At 42.7% G+C, this 22,785-nt stretch overlaps 1 protein-coding gene across 1 annotated transcript in view; it reads left to right on the top strand.

The window, feature by feature from the left end:
• The window catches only part of PTPN9 (protein tyrosine phosphatase non-receptor type 9), a 116,065-nt gene that overhangs the window by 40,741 nt on the left and 52,539 nt on the right, over positions 1-22,785 (top strand). Inside the window, exons 2-5 of the mRNA NM_002833.4 lie at positions 11,314-11,457; positions 14,277-14,366; positions 15,330-15,454; positions 21,211-21,316. Coding sequence (NP_002824.1) covers positions 11,314-11,457; positions 14,277-14,366; positions 15,330-15,454; positions 21,211-21,316 — 465 coding nt within the window. The remainder of the gene's footprint in view (positions 1-11,313; positions 11,458-14,276; positions 14,367-15,329; positions 15,455-21,210; positions 21,317-22,785) is intronic.

Genomic DNA, 22,785 nt, shown 5'->3' with positions numbered 1-22,785 from the left:
TAGGCGTGTGCCATCATGCTGGGCGAATTTTTGTATTTTTTGTAGAGACGGGGTTTTGTCATGTTCCTCAGGCTGGTCACGAACTCCTGAGATCAAGCAGTCTGCCCACTTCGGCCTCCCAGAGTGCTGGGATTATAGATTGGAGCCACCACACCTGGCCTAAAATTCCTGTCTTTTTGCATCAGGTTGTTACGCATCTTTTGGCTTCTGTTAGGTATGACCTTCAGTGCAATGTTACATAGTGGTGGTAATAGCAGGTACCTGCTGGCCTTCTCATCTTTAATAGAAAAAAATTACGGGGCCTATGTGTGATGGATTTTACGCAGTGCATTTTCAGCATCTGTTGAGAAGGTTATATACTTTTTTTTCCTTTCCTGTTAACATAAAAATTGCTTTGATAGATCTCCTGATGTTAAACCAAGTCTTTACATTCCTCGGAGAAGCCTGTAATGTGAGAGCTATCTTTACTGTGAAGCTTTGTGTGTGTGTGTGTTTTGTTTTGTTTTGTTTTGTTTCGAGACAAAGTCTTGCTCTCTCTCCCAGGCTGGAGTACAGTGGCACAATCTTGGCTCACTGCAACCTCTGCCTCCTGGGTTCAAGTGATTCTCCTGCCTCAGCCTCCTGAGTAGCTGGGATTACAGGCAGGCACCACCACACACAGCTAATTTTTGTATTTTTAGAAGAGACAGGGTTTCACTATGTTGGCCAGGCTGGTCTTGAACGCCTGACCTCAGGTGATCCGCCTGCCTTGGCCTCCCAAAGTGCTGGGATTACAGGTGTGAGCCACCACGCCTGGCCTTTTTTTTTTTTTTTTTTTTTTTGAGATGGAGTCTCCCTCTGTTGCCCTGCTGGAGTGCAGTGGCACCATCTCGGCTCACTGCAACCTCCGCCTCCTGAGTTCAAGTGATTCTCCTGCCTCAGCCTCCCGAGTAGCTGGGACTACAGGTGCGCACCACCACGCCCAGCTAAGTTTTTTGCATTTTTAATAGAGGTGGGGGTTTCACCGTGTTGGCCAGGATGGTCTTGATCTCTTAACCTCATGGTCCACCCACCTAAGCCTCCCAAAGTGCTGGGATTACAGGCGTGAGCCACCGAGCCTGGCCTTTTTTTTTTTTTTTTTTTTTTTTTTTTAGGGAAGATATTTGACGATTCCTCTTGTTTTTGTTTAGATCACCATTTATTTGATTTTCAGCAATCACTAGTTTTTTTTTTTTTTTTTTTTTGAGACGGAGTCTCACTGTGTCACCCAGGCTGGAGTGCAATGGCATGATCTCGGCTCACTGCAACCTCAGCCTCCTGGATTCAAGCAATTCTCTTGCCTCAGCCTCCTGAGTAGTTGGGATTACAGGCGCCCACCACCATGCCCAGCTAAGTTTTGTATTTTTAGTAGAGACGGAGTTTTGCCATATTGGTCAGGCTGGTCTCGAATTCCTGACCTCAGGTGATCCGCCTGCCTTGGCCTCCCAAAGTGCTGGGATTACAGGTGTGAGCCACCATGCCTGGCCTGCAATCACTAGTATTTCTAAAAGAAAATTGTAAAAGTTCCTTTGTTCTTCATCTTCTGTCTGCCCTCTAAATGTTAATAATATTGAGACTTCAATAATTAATTCATTCATTCATCATAGATATTTATTAAGTAAGTGCTTTGTGCCAGGCACAGTGCTAGGAACTAGGTGAATAAAATAGATATGATCCCTGTCTTCAGGGAACTTACCTCCCTGTTGCTAGATTTTTTTTCCTTTCAGTCTGACTTCCCCACTGCTTATAGTTATTTTTTTGAGGTGGGAGAGGGGAACCAAACTCATCATCTCATCCCTTTGCTTAAAGATCTCTATTGAATCTTTTATGTTTATAGGATCATGTCTGGAATTTGAAGTACAGCATACAAGGGCCTTCCCAGTCTGGTTCAGCCCCCCTGTTCACACATCTCCCACCATTCTCCCTCATACACATTGGACACACTAGCTATATGATATCCCCAATAAGCCCTGTTCTTTCATGACCCTGATTTGAAACATTTTGTTCTCTGACTAGAATACTTTTCTCTGCCTGACAGATTCCTACTCATCCTTCAAGGCACTCCTAAAAAAATTTTTTTTATATCCATAGAGAGAGTTTGAATCCCATAGCATTCTGTTCATAGAACCTTCCTAGAATTTATTACATTATGTGGTAAAGATGTATTTATACATCTGTCTCCATAGTTAAATGATTGTAAACTGCTTGGAATAGGGTCTTTATGTCTCTATGTTGTGTCTTCTCACTTGATCTTAGCGAAAGGCCAAGAAGCGATCTATGTTGTGTCTTCTCAACAACTACTGTACTGATTAGCACAGAATGGGCCCTCAGCAAATATTTGTTGTGAATGTTTGACTAATCCTTTCTTTTCCCCTTCCCTTAAGTTTTTCTTTAAATGTGTGTGTGCACAGATTATGACTGGCCTTTTACTTTTTGCAAATTTTTGTTATTACATTGTTTTATAATACGATAAAATCAGAAAATATACTTAAAACTTTTCCCAAATGCAGTAAGAGCCTATTTAAGAAAGCATTATCTCTTTTAAAATCACATTTTAAGAAAAGGCAATGTTTTCCTGAGAAGTGGAAAATATTTGAGATAAACCAGTAAATATTAAAGGGACTGGATTTGTTTCCTTTTTTGGTACATTAACAAAGTGCTTATGGAAAAATCGTAGTTTTAGTTTGGAAATTCATCAAACCTCTTGCTGCCTTATAGCAAACCAGTGTGTCTTTGCTCAGAGTCTCACCTAGCAGATTAATATGGGCTGAAGAGATCAATAGATATAAAAAGGCAGTAATCACAATGAAGGAGAGAGGGGGGAAACAGGTCATGAGAGGAAGGTAGTTCATTAATGCATCCATCACTGAAATAATGGAGAAATGGCATATTTGTTGAAATACAGAAGTATCTTCAAATTTGTTAAAAGCCAGACATTGCATCTTATCTTGAATCACTTTCCTTATTTAGGTCTTCATTGCAGGATGACTGACTGCATTTTTTCATGGTGTTTGTTCTGCACAACACCTGTAATCAACACCTGTTTCTTTATTGTATTGAGACCTCTCCATAGTTTGCGCTGTTAAAAGGAGCTTGTGCCTAGGATGGCATTGTTAATCTCTGGAGCTGCCAGAGAAGTCTGAGAGTAGGGACAAAAAGATGGGAACTGAAGTCTAAATACTTCTGGCCTCAGCTTTTTCTTTATAGCCACAGAGCCTTGAATAAGGAATAATTGGTCCTTTAAAAAGTGTTTTCAGTTGAGGCCGGGCGCGGTGGCTCAGGCCTGTAATCCCAGCACTTTGGGAGGCCGAGGCAGGTGGATCACGAGGTCAAGGGATCGAGACCATCCTGGCCAACATAGTGAAACCCCGTCTCTACTAAAAATACAAAAAAATAGCCAGGCATGGTGGCGGCCGCCTGTAGTCCCAGCTACTCAGGAGGCTGAGGCAGGAGAATGGCGTGAACCCAGGAGACGGAGCTTGCAGTGAGCCGAGATCACGCCACTGCACTCCAGCCTGGGCAACAGAGTGAGACTCTGTCTCAAAAAAAAAAAAAATCGTTTTCAGTTGAATGTTTATTTCTTTTGTTTTTCTTTCTTTCTTGTCACCCAGGCTGGAGTACAATGACATGATCTTGGCTTACTGCAGCCTCTGCCTCCTGGGTTCAAGCTATTCTCCCGCATCAGCCTCCTGAGTAGCTGGGATTACAGGCGCAAGCCAGCACACCTGGTTAATTTTTGTTTTCTTAGTAGAGACGAGGTTTCACCCTGTTGGCCAGGCTGGTCTCAAACTTCTGACCTCAGGTGATCCACCTGCCTCGGCCTCCCAAGGTGCTGGGATTATAGGCGTGAACCATTGCACCTGGCCTTTTTTTTTTTTTTTTGAGATAGAGTCTCACTCAGTCACCCAGGCTGGACTGCAGTGGTATGATCTTGGCCCTCTGCAGCCTTGGCATCCTAGGCTCAAGCACTCCTCCCACCTCAGCCCCCCGAGTAGCTGGGACCACAGGCATGTGCCACCATGCATGGCTAATTTTTAAATTTTTTTGTAGAGATGGGGTCTCACCATGTTGCCCAGGCTGGTCTCTAACTCCTGGGCTCAAGCAGTCTTCCCACCTTGGCCTTCCAAAGTGCTGGGATTACAGATGTGAGCCACCACTCCCAGCCTGAACACATATTTCTAGTTTAAATGTATGGTTTTGTATAAAATGGATTAGAGAGATTGCATTGATACAGACTAAAGGGAAGCAACAGAGGTCATATGATTCTAAGAAATTCTATCTTTGTTGAAAGAAGTTTTAGTGTGAAATGACCAGAGTAAAGAAAAAAGAGAATGAACATTCATCCATTCAGAGACTACCAAGTGCTAGGTATGGTAGTGGGTGCTCTTCCATCCGTTTCTCATTCAAGGTGAGGAAATTGTGGCTCAGAGAGGTTAAATGACTTGCCCAAATAACACACAGTAGTGAATAAGAAGATGGATTGGTTCTTTATAATCCCCAAAACCACACTAAACTTTCTCCTTTGTTGCTAGGTAACTGATATTTCAGGAGACAGAAGTTTTTTGTTTATTTCAAGAGCAGGTTTCTTACAGGTCTGGCTCTTCACTCTCCTAGGTTGTCTTGGGATATAGGATTTAAGGTACTACCTGTGGAACTGAGAGTGCCAGCACATTATTCTTGTCCTCTTGAGTGGCTAGTTCCTTGCCCAAAGCTCATCTCAAAATTATAGCTGCTCTTGGGAGTTTGATGTAACATGGAGGCTATGTTGTTGGTTTTATTCTCTCTGATACCATTATTTCAACACTAATGAATTGTGTCCAGGGTGTACCCTGCTTAATTGACAGCTTTCTCAGCTGTTTTATAGCAGGTTCTCTAGTATCTTTATCTTCATGGCCATAGTCAAGAAACTTGTTTTTATTTATTTAAACATGGTTGTGGGAGAAGTAGATAATTATAGTATGCTTTTTGACTATGCAGGAACAAATCTTACCCTTGAGGCCAGGCACGGTGGCTCATGCCTGTAATTCCAGCACTTTGGGAGGCTGAGGCAGGTGGATTTCTTGAGCCCAGGAGTTCGAGATCAGCCTGGGCTACATGGTGAAACCCCATCTCTACTAAAAAATGCAAAAATTAGCCAGGCATGGTGACGTGTGCATGTAGTCTCAGCCACTTGGAAAGGCTGAGGCAGGAGGATCAATTGAGCCCAGGAGGTCGAGGCTGCAGTGAGCCATGATTGCTCCACTCCATCCTCGGTGACAAAGCAACAACCTGTCTCAAAAAAGCAAAACAAAACAAATCTTACCCTTACCTGAAAAACTGGTTAAGGAGGGTTGTAAGTGGTAATGTTAGTTTCTCCATATATCAATTCAGACCTTATCCCAAAGGAAGACCAGAGCTGTTTGAACTCCAGCTCTTCCTTAGCTGCCAGGTGTTAACAACTTGTGTTTCATAAGCATAGATAGATTCAAACCATTGTCCTGGAGTTAAAATATTTTCTAAGCTGTGACTCATCTTTTGGCTCATTCTTTCTTTCACTAGGAAATAAACTGAGTTTTAATTTTGAGAATTTCAATTATCCCTTCTGAAGACTGTGTTGCTGATTAAAGTTGCTGGGACTTGTTTTTCTGGTAACCAGCAGAGCTACAAATTACTTTGTACTCAGTGGTCATGTTAAACCTATGTGTAAGCAGAGGGAGAAATCTGATTAACTGTCTAAAGGAAGGTTGTTGAAGATGAGGCCATTCTTTCTGACTCCTTTTAGAGGTTCATCTCTTCCACCAGAGGGATGGGTGTGCAGGAGGGTGAATCTGAGGCTGAACAGAGCAGGTGCTACGCATGTGTATTTGTATCTGTAAATATCACATCACTGTTTATAGTACACTGGACTCTACATGCAAGGCCTGGTCAGGCCAAACCAGGAGGAATTGTTCCTGTGCTTAAAGCCAAGAATAACATCCTGACCAGCAGGGGGACAGAGGTCAGCTCAAGGCAACAGCTCTTGGGAGCTACAGAACATTAAGGACCTTGGAGGAACTGAGCTTAATAAAAAGGAAGGCAAGATGTACTTTGAAGGAAGTGTGTGAAACCTGCATGCCTTTCTCTTATTAGGACATGGTTTATTTATGAAAAATGAAAAGTTATCTTTTTTTTTTTTTGAGACAGAGTCTCGCACTGTCTCCTGGGCTGGAATGCAGTGGCACGATCTTGGATCACTGCAACCTCTGCCTCCTGGGTTCAAGCGATTCTACTGCCTCAGCCTCCCACGTAGCTGGGATTACAGGCACCTGCCACCACACCCTGTTAATTGTTTGTATTTTCAGTAGAGACAGGGTTTCATTCACTATGTTGGCCAGGCTGGTCTCGAACCCCTGACCTCATGATCTGCCCACCTTGGCTTCCCAAAGTGCTGGGTTTACAGGGGCGAGCCACTGTGCCCAGCCAAAAAATGAAAATTTATCTTAACAGATGGATATGTGATGAGTTCATATCACCTCTTGGTCATTTACATTTTCCACTTCTACTTATACATTGATTTATCCGTTGATTATTTTTTATTAGAAATTGTATACCCAGCTAAGTAGCAGGAAAAATATGTTCTATTATTCTGGTGTTTTATTCTATAAGCAACATCAGAGAGGCCCACTAGAGAACTGTATTTAAAGGATAATAGGTTAATTAAAAAACAGGTACCATGTCTCGGCCGGGGGTGGTGGCTCACGCCTGTAATCCCAGCACTTTGGGAGGCCGAGGCAGGTGGATCACGAGGTGAGGAGATCGAGACCATCCCAGCTAACATGGTGAAACCCTGTCTCTATTAAAAATACAAAAAAATTAGCCGGGTGTGGTGGCGGGAGCCTGAAGCAGGAGAATGGCGTGAACCCGGGAGGTGGAGCTTGCCAGGAGCCAAGATTGCGCCACTGTACTCCAGCCTGGGCGACAGAGCGAGATTCTGTCTCAAAAGAAAAAAAAAAAGCAGAAAAAACAAAAAACAAAAACAGGTACCATGTCTCCTGGGGAATTTACTGACTGGCTAGAGTTTTATTTCTGGGATCTTTCTGTGCTCACTTCTTTTTCCTTCCATCTTTCCTCATTTTGATGCTGGCCACTCACTCCACAGAGGCAATTCAAACTATTTTCTGAAGGAGCATTCTAAGTTTGTCCTGTTGTCTTCTCTGGGACTCATTTCTCTGGCGTGGCTTCAGCTGGTTCCAGGCCAGAATGATCTTCTGAAAGCTTTTCTTCATGGCCTTTATTTCTTGGCTCTTTTCATGCACTTTGCCTGATTGGTTTTGCTGGTTCTTTCCTTCTCCAATGGTGTAAGCTATGTTGCCTTAATCGTAAGGCTCTAAAGCTCAGGTGCAGCCTCAGGCCGTTTAGACTTTCCTGGGGTTTATAAAGTACTTTTGTCCTTTCCTAGAAATTGGGGGATGAATCAGATGCTCTGTTATGAGGTATTGCTGACTCTCCTGGGATTTTAGTTTGCCAGTTGTTTAAATAGTGTGTAGCAATTTGAATTGTATTTGTAAGGTAGGACTTGTTGCCAAGACTCCGAAGTAGGTCATTGCTATTATGCTTTTTCTCTTTATTTTTCTTATATATATTATATATAATATAAAATATACATTATAATAATAAAAATATATATTATAATATATAATATAATATATAATAATATATAATATATCGTAATATATAATATATCATAATATATAATATATTATAATATATATTATATTATATTATGATATATTATAATATATTCTATTATATATTATATTATAATAATTATAATAATATATTATATTATATATATTATATAATAATATATATTATATATATTATATAATAATATATATTATATATATTATAATATAATAATATATATAATAGTATATTATATAATAATATATATTATAGTATATTATAATATAATAATATATATTATAGTATATTATAATATAATAATATATATTATAGTATATTATAATATAATAATATATAATATATTATAATATAATAATATTATATAATAAATTATATTATAATATATTATAATATAATATATTATAATATATATTTTTATTATTATAATATATATTTTATTATAATAATAATATATTATATATTATAATATAATATATAATAATATAATATGTAATATATATAATGTAATATATATATCTATTATAGAGACAGGATCTCACTACGTTGGCCAGGCTGATCTTGAATTGGCCTCAAGTGATCTTCCTGCCTTGGCCTCCCGGAGTGCTAGGATTACAGGCATGAGCCACCGTGCCTAGCCCTCCCTTTCTTTTTCTTTCTTTCTTTCTTTCTTTTCTTTTTTTTTTTTTTTTTTTGAGATGGAGTCTCTCTCTGTCGCTCAGGCTGGAGTGCAGTGGTGCGATCTTGGCTCACTACAACCCCACCTCCTGGTTCAAGCGATTCTTCTGCCTCAGCCTCCTGACTAGCCGGGAGCACAGGCGCATGCCACCATGCCCAGCTAATTTTTGTATTTTTAGTAGAGACGGGGTTTCACCATATTGGCCAGGCTGGTCTCGAGCTCCTGACCTCGTGATCTGCCCTCGGCCTCCCAAAGTGCTGGGATTACAGGCATAAGCCAACACGCCCAGCCATTTTTTTTTTCTTTGAAACAGAGTCTTGCTCTGTCACCCAGGCTGGAGTGCAATGGCACAATCTTGGCTCACTGCAACCTCCACATCCTGGGTTCAAGCAATTTTCCTGCCTTAGCCTCCTGAGTAGCTGGGATTACAGACATGCACCACCATGCCTGGCTGATTTTTGTATTTTTAATAGTGACAGGGTTTCACCATGTTGGCCAGGCTGGTCTCGAACTCCTGACCTCAAATGATCCACCCGCCTTGGCTTCCCAAAGTGCTGGGATTATAGTTGTGGGCCACCGTGCCCGGTCCTCCCTTTATTTTTCAATTGAAAAATTAGCAAAGACAGAATTACCGTGTCCATGGTCACATGGTAGGCTAGTTTTATACCTTTCGAAGCAAACCTCATTTTTTTATTCGTTATACCTTTCAGTGCAAGTATTAGCTTAACAAATAACAGGTGCTTATTAAATATGAATAAATAAGTCATAACTGTGGGTTGATTGGGAATAGAGGTATGGTTAAAATTCAGAATTCTCATCAGGTTCGTCATATTGCAGACAAACAGCTGAGAAAAGTTTCTGGATGGAAGGGACAGAATAGCCATGCATGAAGCTTTTAGTAGTGTAGAATGCCTACAAAAAAATTATTCCTGGCTGGGTGCGGTGGCTCACACCTGTAATCCCAGCACTTTGGGAGGCCGAGGCGGACGGATCATGAGGTCAGGAGTTGGAGACCAGCCTGGCCAATATGGTGAAACCTTGCCTCTACTAAAAATACAAAAATTAGCCAGGCGTGGTGGTGTGCCCCTGTAGTCCCAGCTACTCGGGAGGCTGAGGCAGAAGAATCACTTGAACCCTGGAGGCAGAGGTTGCAGTGAGCCAAGATCGCACCACTGCACTCCAGCCTGGGTGACAGAGTGAGACTATCTAAAAAAAAAATTCCAATTTAGCTCACAGATGCAATCCCAGCTCTTTGGGAATGCGAGATGGAATGATCACTTGAGCACTGGAGTTCAAGACCAGCCTGGCCAACAAAGGGAGTCCTCGTCTCTACAAAAAATCAAAAAAATTATCCAGGCATGGTGGTGTGCACCTGTAGTCACAGCTACTCGGAAGGCGGGGACAGGAGGATCCCTTGAGCCCAGGAGTTTGAGGCTGCAATGAGCAGTAATTGTGCCACTGCACTGCAGTCTGCTGGGTGACAGAGTGAGATATTGTCTCAAAAAAAAAAAAAAAAAAAATGTGCTGAGGGCAGTGGCTCATGCCTGTAATCCCAGCACTTTGAGAGGGATCATGAGAGGATCGCTTGAGCCCCGGAGTTTGAGACCAATCCTGGGCTATGTAGTGAGACCTTGTCTCTACTAAAAATAACAAAGAAAAAAATTACTGGGTGTGATGACATATGCCATGCCTATAGTCCCAGCTACTCGAGAGGCTGAGGCTGGAGGATTGTTTGAGCCCAGGTGGTCGAAGCTGCAGTGAGCCAAGATTGTGCCACTACATTCCAGCCTGGGTCACAGAGTGAGACCCTGTCTCAAAAAAAGAAAAAAAAAAATCCCAATTTAAATCATTCTAAAATGAAGAAACAGAAAAGTAGTTTGTCTAAAAAGGAAATTGGTTATAATGTAAGGAGAAATAGGATGAGAGTGCATAAAAGAACATGAATTAGTTGAGAGATAGAAACAGTTCTGGAAGCAGGCATCTTGCCAGCCTGGGTCAGACAGTAAAAATGAAAATTTTCCTCCCCTTTCCAAAACCACTATCCAGAGGGGCTGTTATTGACTCTGGGTACTAGTATCCAGTTTTGGGGTTGCCATATAAAGCATGAAGAGGTCCAGTGGGGTCAGTTAGCACAAAGAATAGCTGCTCTTTTGATTGGCTAAGTTCTTCTTAATAATTTTACTGGCCTCAAATTCCAAAGCCAAAACCATTTTCTGATTCTTTTGCTGTGTCCATTTGGCTTGTGGGACCAAAGCAGCAGCTGAGACTGCTATACTACACTGCATTAGGCAATAATCCTTCGGAAGGCCTGGCCACTTTTCTTTTTGTTTTCTTTTTTTTTCTTTCTTTCTTTTTTTTTTTGAGACAGTTTCGCTCTTGTTGCCCAGGCTGGAGTGCAATGGCATGATCTCAGCTCACTGCAACCTCTGCCTCTTGGGTTTAAGCAGTTCTCCTACCTCAGCCTCCCAAGTAGCTGACATTACAGGCGTGCGCCACCACATCCGGCTAGTTTTGTATTTTTAGTAGAGATGGATGGAGTTTCACCATGTTGGTCAGGCTAGTCTTGAACTCCTGACCTCAAGTGATCCTCCCACCTCTACCTCCCAAAGTGTGGCCTCCCAAAATTTTTAAATTTTTTTATTTTTTGCTTTGGGACTAGTAATTTGCATCTCATTTAGGATCCCTCTTCTCCCCCCTCATTTTTTCATGCATACCTGCACTAAGTCCTGTTTTCTGAACCTAGATCTGGCTTCTGGCCTCATTGAATTATACAAATTTTAACTATGTCTGGTTTCAGACCTGTTTCTACCTTTTTGTTTGTCTTTCCCTGCTCCCTGTAGCAAACTGGGTTCAGACTTGCTTGGAGAAGGGATGATAGTTTTCACTTGTTTGTTTTTTGACTCCATAAATATGCTCTCTTCTTACTAATTATTCTTTCTTTCTTTGTCAAACAGGCTACCAAGCAGTTTCTCGAAGAGATTAACAAGTGGACAGTTCAGTACAATGTTTCCCCGCTGTCTTGGAATGTGGCTGTCAAGTTCCTCATGGCAAGGAAGTTTGATGTGCTCCGTGCCATAGAATTGTTCCACTCCTACAGAGTATGTGGCTCAGGGGTAGACCAGACCTGTGGCAGTTGGGTTAAGTGTTGCTGTTGTCCCTGTCATGCTCGACACACACATTGGTTCTCTAAGTGTTCCTCCTCACTTTCATAAAAAATGGATCCATATCCAGGAGCCCTTGTGAGAGCTGAAGCTGGGCAAGGCAGCTACTGGAAGGCACTACTTTTGTACCTAAGTTTTGATCGTAGACCAGGATGCCACATCTAATGATTGAGACGGAGGAAGTAGCCTGACAGCATCCTGGTGGCAGGATAGGGGTTCACCCTTCCTAGAGTTTTAATCCTAGCTCTTTTCATTGGCCTCTGGCCACATGAAAATCTTGGTTTTCAGGTTGTCTAAGGCTTTTAGAAACTTGCCATTCAGATGAATGATGAGCTTAGTGGGCAGTTCAGGAAGGGAAGTTTTAACACTGGAAAAGAAGAGCAACTGTGTATTAGCTAGGTCCATTATCTTAAAGTATCTTTATGCAAATGTAGCGGCATCAGGATTTTACTTTGTTTTGATTTTTGTTTTTTGAGGGGGCATAGACTTTGGTTTTGTGCTTGTTTGCTTTCTCAGTTAGTAGTGTCTTTGATAAAACACTATACAGCATGTTACTTTGGGGTCAGAATCCTTCTAAAGAAATACAAAATCTCCCTAAAAAAAAAAATTGGGATAACAAGCACTAGGATTAGCTTAACTGAAGTTTGGTTACATCTGTCTTGTGGACCAGCTCATTCAATATTCATTCATTTACTCAACAGATACTTATTTTATACTTACTGTGTTCCAGGTGCAGAGATTACTATTTAGAAAGAGAGACTAGGGCTGGGTGCGGTGGCTCATGCCTGTAATCTCAGCACTTTGGGAGGCCAAGGCAGGTGGATCACTTGAGGTCAGGAGTTTGAGACCAGCCTGAACAAAATGGCAAAACCGCATCTCTACTAAAACTACAAAAATTAGCTGGGTGTAGTGGCACCTGTATTCCCAGCTACTCGGGAGGCTGAGGAGGGACAATCACTTGAACCAAGGAGGTGGAGGTTGCAGTGAGCCGAGATCACACCATTGCATTCCAGTCTGGGCAACAGAGTGAGACTGTTTAAAAAAAAAAAAAAGAAAGAGAAAATAAACAAAGAGTTGTAGAAATGTTATGATAAGGCAGCACTGGATTCTGTGGAAGCACTTTTTTTTTTGAGACAGAGTCTTGCTGTGTCTCCCAGACTGAAGTGAAGTGGCATGATCTCAGCTCACTGCAGATCTCTGCCTCCTGAGCTCAAGTGATCCTCCCACCTCACCTTAGCCTCCCGAGTAGCTGGGACCACAGGCATGCACCACCATACCTGGCTAATTTTTTGTATTTTTAGTAGAGACGGGGTTTTGCTATGTTGCCCAGGCTGGTCTCGAACTCCTGAGCTCAAGTGATCCACGCACCTCGGCCTCCCAAAGTACTGGGATTACAGGCATGAGCCACCGTGCCCAGCCTAAGAGGTTTAAAACAAGCGGTTGATGAAATAAGACAAACCAAGATAATATTTTTTTGTTATCGGTATATAAAGGTAGAGAATGTCTCCGGAAAAAGGAAGTGTAGGTGGTCAACCTTGTCATTTAAGAGGAGAACTGAAGAGGCTGGGCGCGGTGGCTCATGCCTGTAATCCCAGCACTTTGGGAGGCCGAGGCGGGTGGATCGCTTCAGCCCAGGAGTTGGAGACCAGCCTGGGCAACATGGCAAAACCCCGTCTCTACTAAAAACACAAAAATTAGCCAGGCATGGTGGCACGTGCCTGTAATCCCAGCTACTCAGGAGGCTGAGGCAAGAGAATCTCTTGGACGTGGAGGTTGCAGTGAGCCAAGATCATGCCACTGCACTCCAGCCTCAGCAACAGTGTGAGACTTGGTCTCAATTAAAAAAAAAAAAAGAATCTGGCCATCAGGGTGAGGAAAATGAAGTCATGGTAGCTGCTGTTGGAGACAATATCAGGTGGAGAGAAGGCTCCTATTTAAACATAGGAGAGGCCTAAACCTAGAAAATATGTGAGAACGTAGGCATCCAGACATTTTTGAGGTCCATATTTTAGTGTCCTGGTACCATGTCAGTGCTGCTGCGTGTTTAAGAACCTTGATCCTGCACCTGAATGTAACATACTGGTTACTCTTCAGGGTTAGGGTTCTTACTGAGTCAGAGAAAAATACCCTACCTGAGGGGCTGATAAAGTAGCTTTGGACAGGAATTCCGAAAATGCTTGACTGGCTTGGAGGCAGGTTACAAAGAAATTCATAATTCATTTAGTTGACTTCATTATTCATTTAGCTGAATTCTTTTTTTTTTTTTTTTTTTTTTTTGAGACAGAGTCTCATTTTGTCACCCAGGCTGGAGTGCAGTGGTGCTGTCTTGGCTTACTGCAACCTCCACCTTCTGGGTTCAAGCGATTCTCCTGCCTCAGCCTCCTGAGTAGCTGGGATTATGGGCGCGCACCACCATGCCAGGCTAATTTTTGTATTTTTAGCCGAGACAAGGTTTCACCATGTTGGCCAGGCTGCTCTCGAACTCCTGACCTCAGGTGACCTGCCCGCCTTGGCCTCTCAAAGTGGTGGGATTACAGGCGTGGGCCACTGCGCCCGGCCCATTTAATTGAATTCTAATTCAACTAAATGAAGTAGAATTGGTTATGAAATTAGTTACAAAATTTATTTAGTTATGAAATTTATAATTCATTCATTCATTGATAACCACCTTATCTCTGAGATTTGGTGGTTACATGGTGCTGTCCTGGATATACAGTATTTTCATATTAATACATTTTGCTGTGCTTCCTTTTTAGGAAACTCGAAGGAAGGAAGGCATTGTAAAGCTGAAACCTCATGAGGAACCTCTTCGTTCTGAGATCCTCAGTGGAAAATTCACCATCTTAGTGAGTGTTTAGGGACCTATCTTGTAGGGCCTTATTACTTCCTTTTTTAACTGGTGTCCTGTTTGGACTTTGTTTTTTTTTTTTTTTTTTTAATTTTATTATTATTATACTTTAAGTTTTAGGGTACATGTGCACAACGTGCAGGTTTGTTACATATGTATACATGTGCCTTGTTGGTGTGCTGCACCCATTAACTCGTCATTTAGCATTAGGTATATCTCTTAATGCTATCCCTCCTCCATCCCCCCCTGTTTGGACTTTGTTCCTATATACCTTATCCTGAATCTAGAGAGTCTCCACAGTTAGGAGCAGATGTGAAACAGCCATGCAGTTTGGTATAAAATTATTTTAGTAACAATTGAATTACTAATAGTTTCTAGTAATTAGAGTTACTAATGATAATTGAATAATTGAATTATGGAAAATCAGTTGTACAGTAGACTTAGAAAAGTTTCTTCAGTTGGTCCATTAAGGTTAGTCATGGTCTTTGGGAGAGATATGCAATGTGTCAGACACCCATGCTTCCATATTTAACGCAAGCTCTCCACTTAGTTGAGACCTCAGCCTTTCAAGTAAACATACAATGGCACTTTTAAGGCAGAGGGTGGAAATCATGGTCCTGTTCCCTGGTTCTCTCCTGCTGCTTGTTTCTTTTGCCATTCTGCCAGGGAAGTTAGCTAGGAAGCCAGTGCACAGCCATCCTTTGATCTGTCTGTAGTTGAAGAGCAAAGAGAATGTGTTTTTTTTTTCTTACCACAGAAATATGGTCCAGGGAGTCCTGGGAGAATCAGACAAAGGATGATATTAACACTCTTCCCTTTGGACAGCAATTGGTGAAGTCAGGGAATTATTGTTAGCATCTGTTTTCTACATGTATCAAACCCTTATCCAGTATATAAGTCTTAGTAATTGCTGTGATTTTCTATTTGATTTTTTTAATGTTTCTTGTTTTATTTGCTTTAGAATGTTCGGGACCCAACAGGAGCCTCCATTGCCCTCTTTACTGCCAGGTTGCATCATCCCCACAAGTCAGTCCAACATGTGGTACTTCAGGCTCTGTTTTACTTGCTAGACAGAGCTGTGGATAGGTAAGCATTGAGATTATTTTTTAGGTATTCTACATGCAGGTAGGAAAGTGACAGTTTTTTACTTGATTAAATTCAGCAGTGCCTTCGCCATTCTCCTAGGATGTGCCCTGGGCAATGCTATGAATAGAAAACAATCCATGTCCTTTAGAACTCGGCATGTTTGCAGGCACTATCAAGATGGTGGGCGTTCTCTTTACCACCTTGGCTCTATGTCAGGAAAACAGAAGCTGAGAAAGTCAATTATCGGCAATCTTCAGTGTATGGAAAACTACTTATTGGAAAAGAATGAGGGGGAGATGACCTGTGCTGGTTCTTTTTGCTCATATCAGAACCTCTAAGGCCTCAGTTTCTTTGTCTGCATAACAGGAATAATGCCGTTTAGTTCAGAGGATTTTGAGACTCAACATTCAGGGGAGGGCTGGGTGCAGTGGCTCACACCTGTAATCCCAGCACTTTGGGAGGCTGAAGCAGGTGGATTGCTTGAAGCCAGGAGTTGAGACCAGCCTGGACAACATGGTGAAACCCTGTCTCTGATAAAAAATACAAAAAATTAGCTGGGTGTGGTAGCGTGCACCTTTAGTCCCAGCTTCTTGGGGGAGGTGGGGGAGGTTGCTGAGGTGGGAGGATCACTTGAGCCCAGAATGGTGAAGCTGTAGTGAGCCATGATCACGCCACTGCATTCCAGCCTGGGTGACACAGCAAGACCTGTCTCAAAAAAAACCCCACAAAAAAGCCCACACAAAACAAACAACAACAACAAAAAAACATTCAGGGAGAAGCCCAGAAGTATAAAGTTAAGCAAAAACCATCCTTAATAAAAAGAGGTGCATAAGCATAAAGAACCAGCTCAGGTCATCACTCTCTTCCTGCTAAGGTAATTGGTATTGTTACAATTCAATTGACAATTAAACTCAAGCCCCAAGAAGTTTTTTACAGTCATCATATGTTAGTCCAGCTGGTTCTAAGATCCTGGTTTCTTCACTCTTGGGCAGAGTTATTTCTGTCCTCCCATGCTGTTGTTCTGCTATTCCTTTTTCCCTGGTGCTTGTAATTTACAGTTTCTTACTGCTCTCGACATCTTTGGCTGGTCCTCCGGATTAGAAGTGCTATATTGAGGCCAGGCGCATTGATTCATGCCTGTAATCCTAGCACTTTGGTTGGCTGAGATGGGCAGATTGTCTGAGCCCGGGAGTTTGAGACCAGCCCTGGGCAACATGATGAATCCACTCGCTTCTTGAGGGCAGGAAACTTTCTTTTTAACATCCGAATCTCTGTAGGTTGAGAGAGAATGGTATCGTGAACATCCACATATCCATCATCCGTCTTCTTCAAAGTGATCTGTAACAGTCTTGTTTCATTGGTAGCCCCTCATGGATCTCCTATCCTCAGTTTCTTTCTTTTTTGTTTTTTGAGACTAGGGCTTGGTTTGTCACCCAGGCTGGAGTGCAGTAGCATGATTGTAGCTCACTGCAGTCTTGAACTCCTGGACTTAAGCAATCCTCCCATCTCGGCCTCCCAAAATGCTGGGATTACAAGCATAAGCCATTGCATCTGGCTTCTCCGTTTTTTTAAAACCAATGTCAGGGACTGTATTTTAAACTTCTTGGTGTTTTCTGTAACATGTAGCTCAAGAATTAAAAAAATATTTTTTTTATTTTTTTTTTCCTTTGAGACGGAGTCTCGGTCTGTCCCCCAGGCTGGAGTGCAGTGGCGCTATCTCAGCTCGCTGCAAGCTCCGACTCCCGGGTTCGTGCCATTCTCCTGCCTCAGCCTCCCGAGTAGCTGGGACTACAGGCGCCTGCCACCACGCCCGTTTTTTTTTTTTTTTTTTGTATTTTTAGTAGAGATGGGGTTTCACCTTGTTAGCCAGGATGGTCTCGATCACCTGAGCTCGTGATCCACCCACCTCAGCCTCCCAAAGTGTTGGGATTACAGGCGTGAGCCACCGTGCCCGGCCCATTGTAAATCTTAAACTGGGTGCAGTGGCTCATGCCTGTAATCCCAACACTTTGGGAGGCCAGGTGAGAGGATCGCTTGAGCCCAGAAGTTCGAGACCAGCCTGGGCAACATAGCAAGGCCTCGTCTCTACAAAAAGTTTAAAAATTAGGCAGCCAGGCATGGTGGTATTTGCCTGTAGTCCCAGACACTCACGGAAGGCTGAACTGGGAGGATCACCTGAGCCCTGGGAGGATCACCTGAGCCCTGGGAGGATCATCTGAGCCCTGGGAGGTCGAGGCTACAGTGCGCCATGATTGTGCCACTGCACTACAGCATGGGCAACAGAGTAAAATGCTGTCTTAAAAATATATATATTCTGGTGGCTCACGCGTGTAGTCCCAGCACTTTGGGAGTCCAAGGGGGTGGATCTCCTGAGGTCGGGAGTTTGAGACCAGCCTGGCCAACATGGTGAAACCCCGTCTCTAGTAAAAATACAAAAAATTAGCCAGGCGTGGTGGTGGGTGCCTGTAATCCTAGCTACTCGAGAGGCTGAGGCAGGAGAATCACTTGAACTTGGGCGGAGGTTGCAGTGAGCAGAGATCGCACTATTGCACTTCAGCCTGGGCAACAAAAGCGAACTCTGTCTCAAAAAAAAAAAAGTATATGTATATATATACACACATATATAAACACACACACATCTATCTATCTATCTATCTATCTATCTATCTATCTATCTATCTATTCTATACCCTAAAGTGTGAAAATCTTACTGCATTCATGTTTTATGTGCCTTCACAGGATGAGCACTTTGATCTGGGAATATAGAACCTGGATCATTCATTATGCATCCAAGCTTCTTTTTTTTTAAATTCTCTTTGCCCCCTCACTGACTTGTTTTTGTTTTAGTCCCCTGCCACAACCTGGAGTCATGAGGGGAAAGCCCATAATTTGAATTTGACCCTTGAGGAGCTCATGGAGAAATAGAAAGTATCTAGATCTGGATAGCCTATTCAATAATTGTGCCACACATTTTCTTTGTTTCTTTTTATTTAAGAGACAGGGTCTCACTTTTGCTCGGGCTGAAGTGCAGTTGCATCATCATAACTCACAGCAGCCTCAACTCCTGGGCTCAAATGATCCTCCTGCCTCTGTCTCCCAAGGAGCTGGGACCACAGGCACGTACTAATAAACCCGTCCAATTTTAAAATTTTTTTGTAGAGGCGGAGTTTCACTCTGTTGACCAGGCTGGTCTCGAACTTCTGGCCTCAAGCAGTCTTCACATCTCAGTCTCCCAAAGTGCTGAGATTACAGGTGTGAGTCACTGGACCTGTCCTGTGCCACACATTTTAACAGCATCTTGGACCTTTGTGGATCATAGTCTCTCTGGGGTTGTGAAAAAGGAGTCAAGGGCAGGGCGCAGTGACTCACACCTGTAATCCCAGCACTTTGGGAGGCCGAGGGGGGCAGATCACTTGAGGTCAGGAGTTTGAGACCAGCCTGGGCAACATAATGAAACCCCATCTCTACTAAAAATTAAAAAATAAGTAAAGAAATAAATAAGAAAAAGGAGTAAAGATTTAACACTAATGTAACACATTAGGTGCCAGTTGAAACTAAGTCTGCTGGAGAAACTTTCATGTACCTCAGAATTAGACATTTTTGAAATGTTAGCTCATGGGCGGGTGCTTCTGCCTTGGAATTTGTTAAAGGGATGAAGATATGGAGGTTCCCAGGAGGTGCTGGTGCAAAAATAGTAAGATACAAAATAACTTTGAGGCTGGGCATAGTGGCTCACGCCTGTAATCCCAGCACTTTGGGAGGCCGACGTGGGTGGATCACCTGAGGTCAGGAGTTCGAGACCAGCCTGGCCAACATGGCGAAACCCCGTCTCTACTAAAAATACATTAGCCAAGTGTGGTGGTGGGCACCTGTAGTCCTAGCTACTCGGGAGGCTGAGGCAGAAGAATTGCTTGAACCCGGGCGGCGGAGGTTGCAGTGAGCCGAGATCCCGCCGTTGCACTCCAGCCTGGGTGACAAGAGTGAAACTCTGTCTCAAAACAAAAAACAATAACTTTGAGACTCCTGATTTCAGGAATGAGTTTTGTGCCAAACATTTTCTCAATTCTAAATAGATGTGAAAACTCTTGCTGTCATCTGTGAGTAGTCCAATCAAATAATTTATCCTAATGACCATTTGGGTCTGCAGATCACATATAAGTACGGATCTGGCTTGGTGGAAGAGTACATCTTTGAGAAATCTTTATAAATCTGGGAAATTGGACTGAGGAATACTTTCTGTATCTTCAAATGTTCCTCAGTTTGGTCTGGGAATAGGCTTACTTTTTTTTTTTTTTTTTTCCCCTGAGATGGAGTCTCGCTCTGTTGCCCAGGCTGGAGTGCAGTGGTGCAATCTCGATTCACTGCAACCTCTGCCTCTTGGGCTCAGGCAATTCTCCTGCCTCAGCCTCCCAAGTAGTTGGGATTACAGGCATGTGCCACCATACCCAGCTAATTTTGTATTTTTAGTAGAAATGGGGCTTCACCATATTGGCCAGGCTGGTCTCAAACTGCTGACCTCAGGTGATCCACCTGCTTCAGCCTCCCAAAGTGCTGGGATTATAGGTGTGAGCCACCACACCCAGCCATGGCTTACTATTAATACCTGTTAATCTACTTTTTTTTCTTTCTTTTCCCTCTTTTTTTTTTTTTTTTTAAATAGAGTCAGGGTCTTGCCATGTTGCCCAGACTGGTCTTGAACTCCTGGGTTCAAGCGATCCAGCTGCCTTGGCCTCCCAAAGTGCTAGGATTACAGGCGTGAGCCACTGCGCCCAGTCTTACTTTTTCTTAAGACAAGATCTCACGCTGTCTCCCAGGCTGGAGTGCAGTGGCATGACCTCCCTGTAGCCTCGACCTCCTGGGCTCAAGTGACCCTCCCACCTGAGCCTCCCAAGTAGCTGAGACTATAGGTCACTACATGATGAGGTATTGTCATGTTGCCCAGCCTGGTCTCAAATTCCTGGGCTTAAGCTATCCACCATCCTTAGCCTCCCAAAGTACTGAGACTACAGTCATGAACCACTATGTCAGCCTTAATCTACTTTTTAGGAATGCTTTCCAAAGGCCATTTATGGGTTTGTTCTCTTCCTCCATGGGGTCATAAGAGACAAATTTACTATCAATGAGCTTAGAGGCAGTTTTGTTCTACACAGTTTTTCACAGGTCTGAAATATTTTCTTAGAGATGGGCTTCCAGTCTACTGAATTACAATTCAGTGACCATTTATTTTTAAGGGCTGTGCTAGGGATTGTTGGGCGTAATGAGTGGAACAACAAGTTCTTGTCCTTTAGGAGAGAATCAGATGGCTATACAGAGTTTATTAAGGCCACAAGAAAAATCCACAGAAAGATTTATGGGGCTTTAAGGGAAAAAACAATTGGTAGCATGTTTGATTACAGTTATCAGGGAAACTTTCATGGAAGAGGAAACTTTGGGGTTGAGTACGGAATATGTTATATGATTTGGGTAGGTAGATTCAGAGGGGTGGGAGAAAACAGTTCAGATTTTGATAACTTAGTTGCTGTAGAGCATTCTCAACCTACGAGTTTGGCATTTGGTACATCTGGATAAATCTGCCTTAATAAACATAGCAGATACCAAAGATAAGAGATCTTTTTGTAAGACCAGTGTGCAGTCAGGCAGTTGTTTTGATCCTAGATGTGTCTCATACTCTCAGGTTTTGTTTTGGCATTAGGCTTTCAACCTGCCTCATCCATCTGCTTACTTACAAATGTTTTTGTTCAATGGTTGATTTACAGCTTTGAAACTCAGAGGAATGGACTGGTGTTTATCTATGACATGTGTGGTTCTAATTATGCCAACTTTGAGCTGGATCTTGGCAAGAAAGTCCTAAACCTGCTGAAGGTAAGGCTATGGAGGGCCCTCTCAAGTTTCCTTCAATGCTTGGGATATATATATTTTTTTAATTCTTTGGGAAAAGATTTAGGAAAGATGCAAACTTCAGACATTATGTTCAATGTAAAGGTCATCTGTAAATGATGACTACTCTCTGCTTCCTTAGAACAAGAAATGATCTTAAAAGTGAAATGGGAGGAATTCGGGTAAAAAATGCACAGGAACGGCCAGGCGCCATGGCTCATGCCTGTAATCCCAGCACTTTGGGAGGCCGAGGTGGGTGGATCATGAGGTCAAGAGATCAAGACCATCCTGGCCAACATGGTGAAACCCTGTCTCTACTAAAAACACAAAAATTAGCTGGGTGTGGTGGCGCGTGCCTATAGTCCCAGGTACTCGGGAGGCTGAGGCAGGAGAATCGCTCGAACCTGGGAGGCAGAGGTTGCAGTGAGCCGGGATTGTGCCACTGCACTCCAGCCTGGCGACAGAGCGAGACTGTGTCTCAAAAAAAAAAAAAAAAAAAAAAGCACAGGAACATTCTGAGTCATAAAAGTGGGATGGGCTGGGTGCCATGACTCACGCCTGTAATCCCAGCACTTTGGGAATCTGAGGCATACTTATGTGTATAAGGTGTGTATGAAACATACATAAATTTAGGCCAGGCATGGTGGCTTACACCAGTAATCTCAGCACTTTGGGAGGCTGAGGCGGACGGATCACGAGGTCAGGAGATCAAGACCATCTTGGCTAACATGGTGAAACCCTGTCTCTACTAAAAATACAAAAAAAAAAAAAAATTAGCCGGGCCTGGTGGCAGGCGCCTGTAGTCCCAGCTACTTGGGAGGCTGAGGCAGGAGAATGGTGTGAATCCGGGAGGCGGAGCTTGCAGTGAGCCAAGATCGTGCCACTGCACTCCAGCCTGGGCGACACAGTGAGACTTCGTCTCAAAAAAAAAAAAAAAAAAGAAGAAACATACATAAATTTCCTGCTTAGACTTGGGTCCCATCCCCAAGATATCTAATTATGTATATGCAGATATTCTAAAATCTGAAAAAAATTCAAAATCTGAAACACTTCTAGTCCCAAGCATTTTGGATAAGGAATACCCAACCTGTGTTATGAATGGTGCTGTTATGAACATTCTTAAACATGTTTTCTGGTGCATATGTGTAAGAGGGTCTCTAGGGGAGTGTTTCTCAACCTTTTTTCATTGTTGCCTCACTAAGGAGCCTTTTTAAATATTTTTTCCCCTAATAATTCCTCTTCTAATGAAATTTTAATACCATAAACATACTGCATATCTCTATGTACTCTTTAAAATTTATTTTTTATTTTATTTTGTTTTATTTTATTTTATTTTTATGTTTTTTGAGATGGAGTCTTGCTCTTGTCGCCCAGGCTGGAGTGCGGTGGCGCGATGTCGGCTCACTGCAACCTCCACCTCCCGGTTCAAATGATTCTCCTGCCTCAGCCTCCTG

Source organism: Homo sapiens, chromosome 15 (assembly GCF_000001405.40).
Source record: "Homo sapiens chromosome 15, GRCh38.p14 Primary Assembly".
Classification (NCBI taxonomy): domain Eukaryota; kingdom Metazoa; phylum Chordata; class Mammalia; order Primates; family Hominidae; genus Homo; species Homo sapiens.
This window is presented reverse-complemented; position numbering and strand designations above follow the sequence as displayed.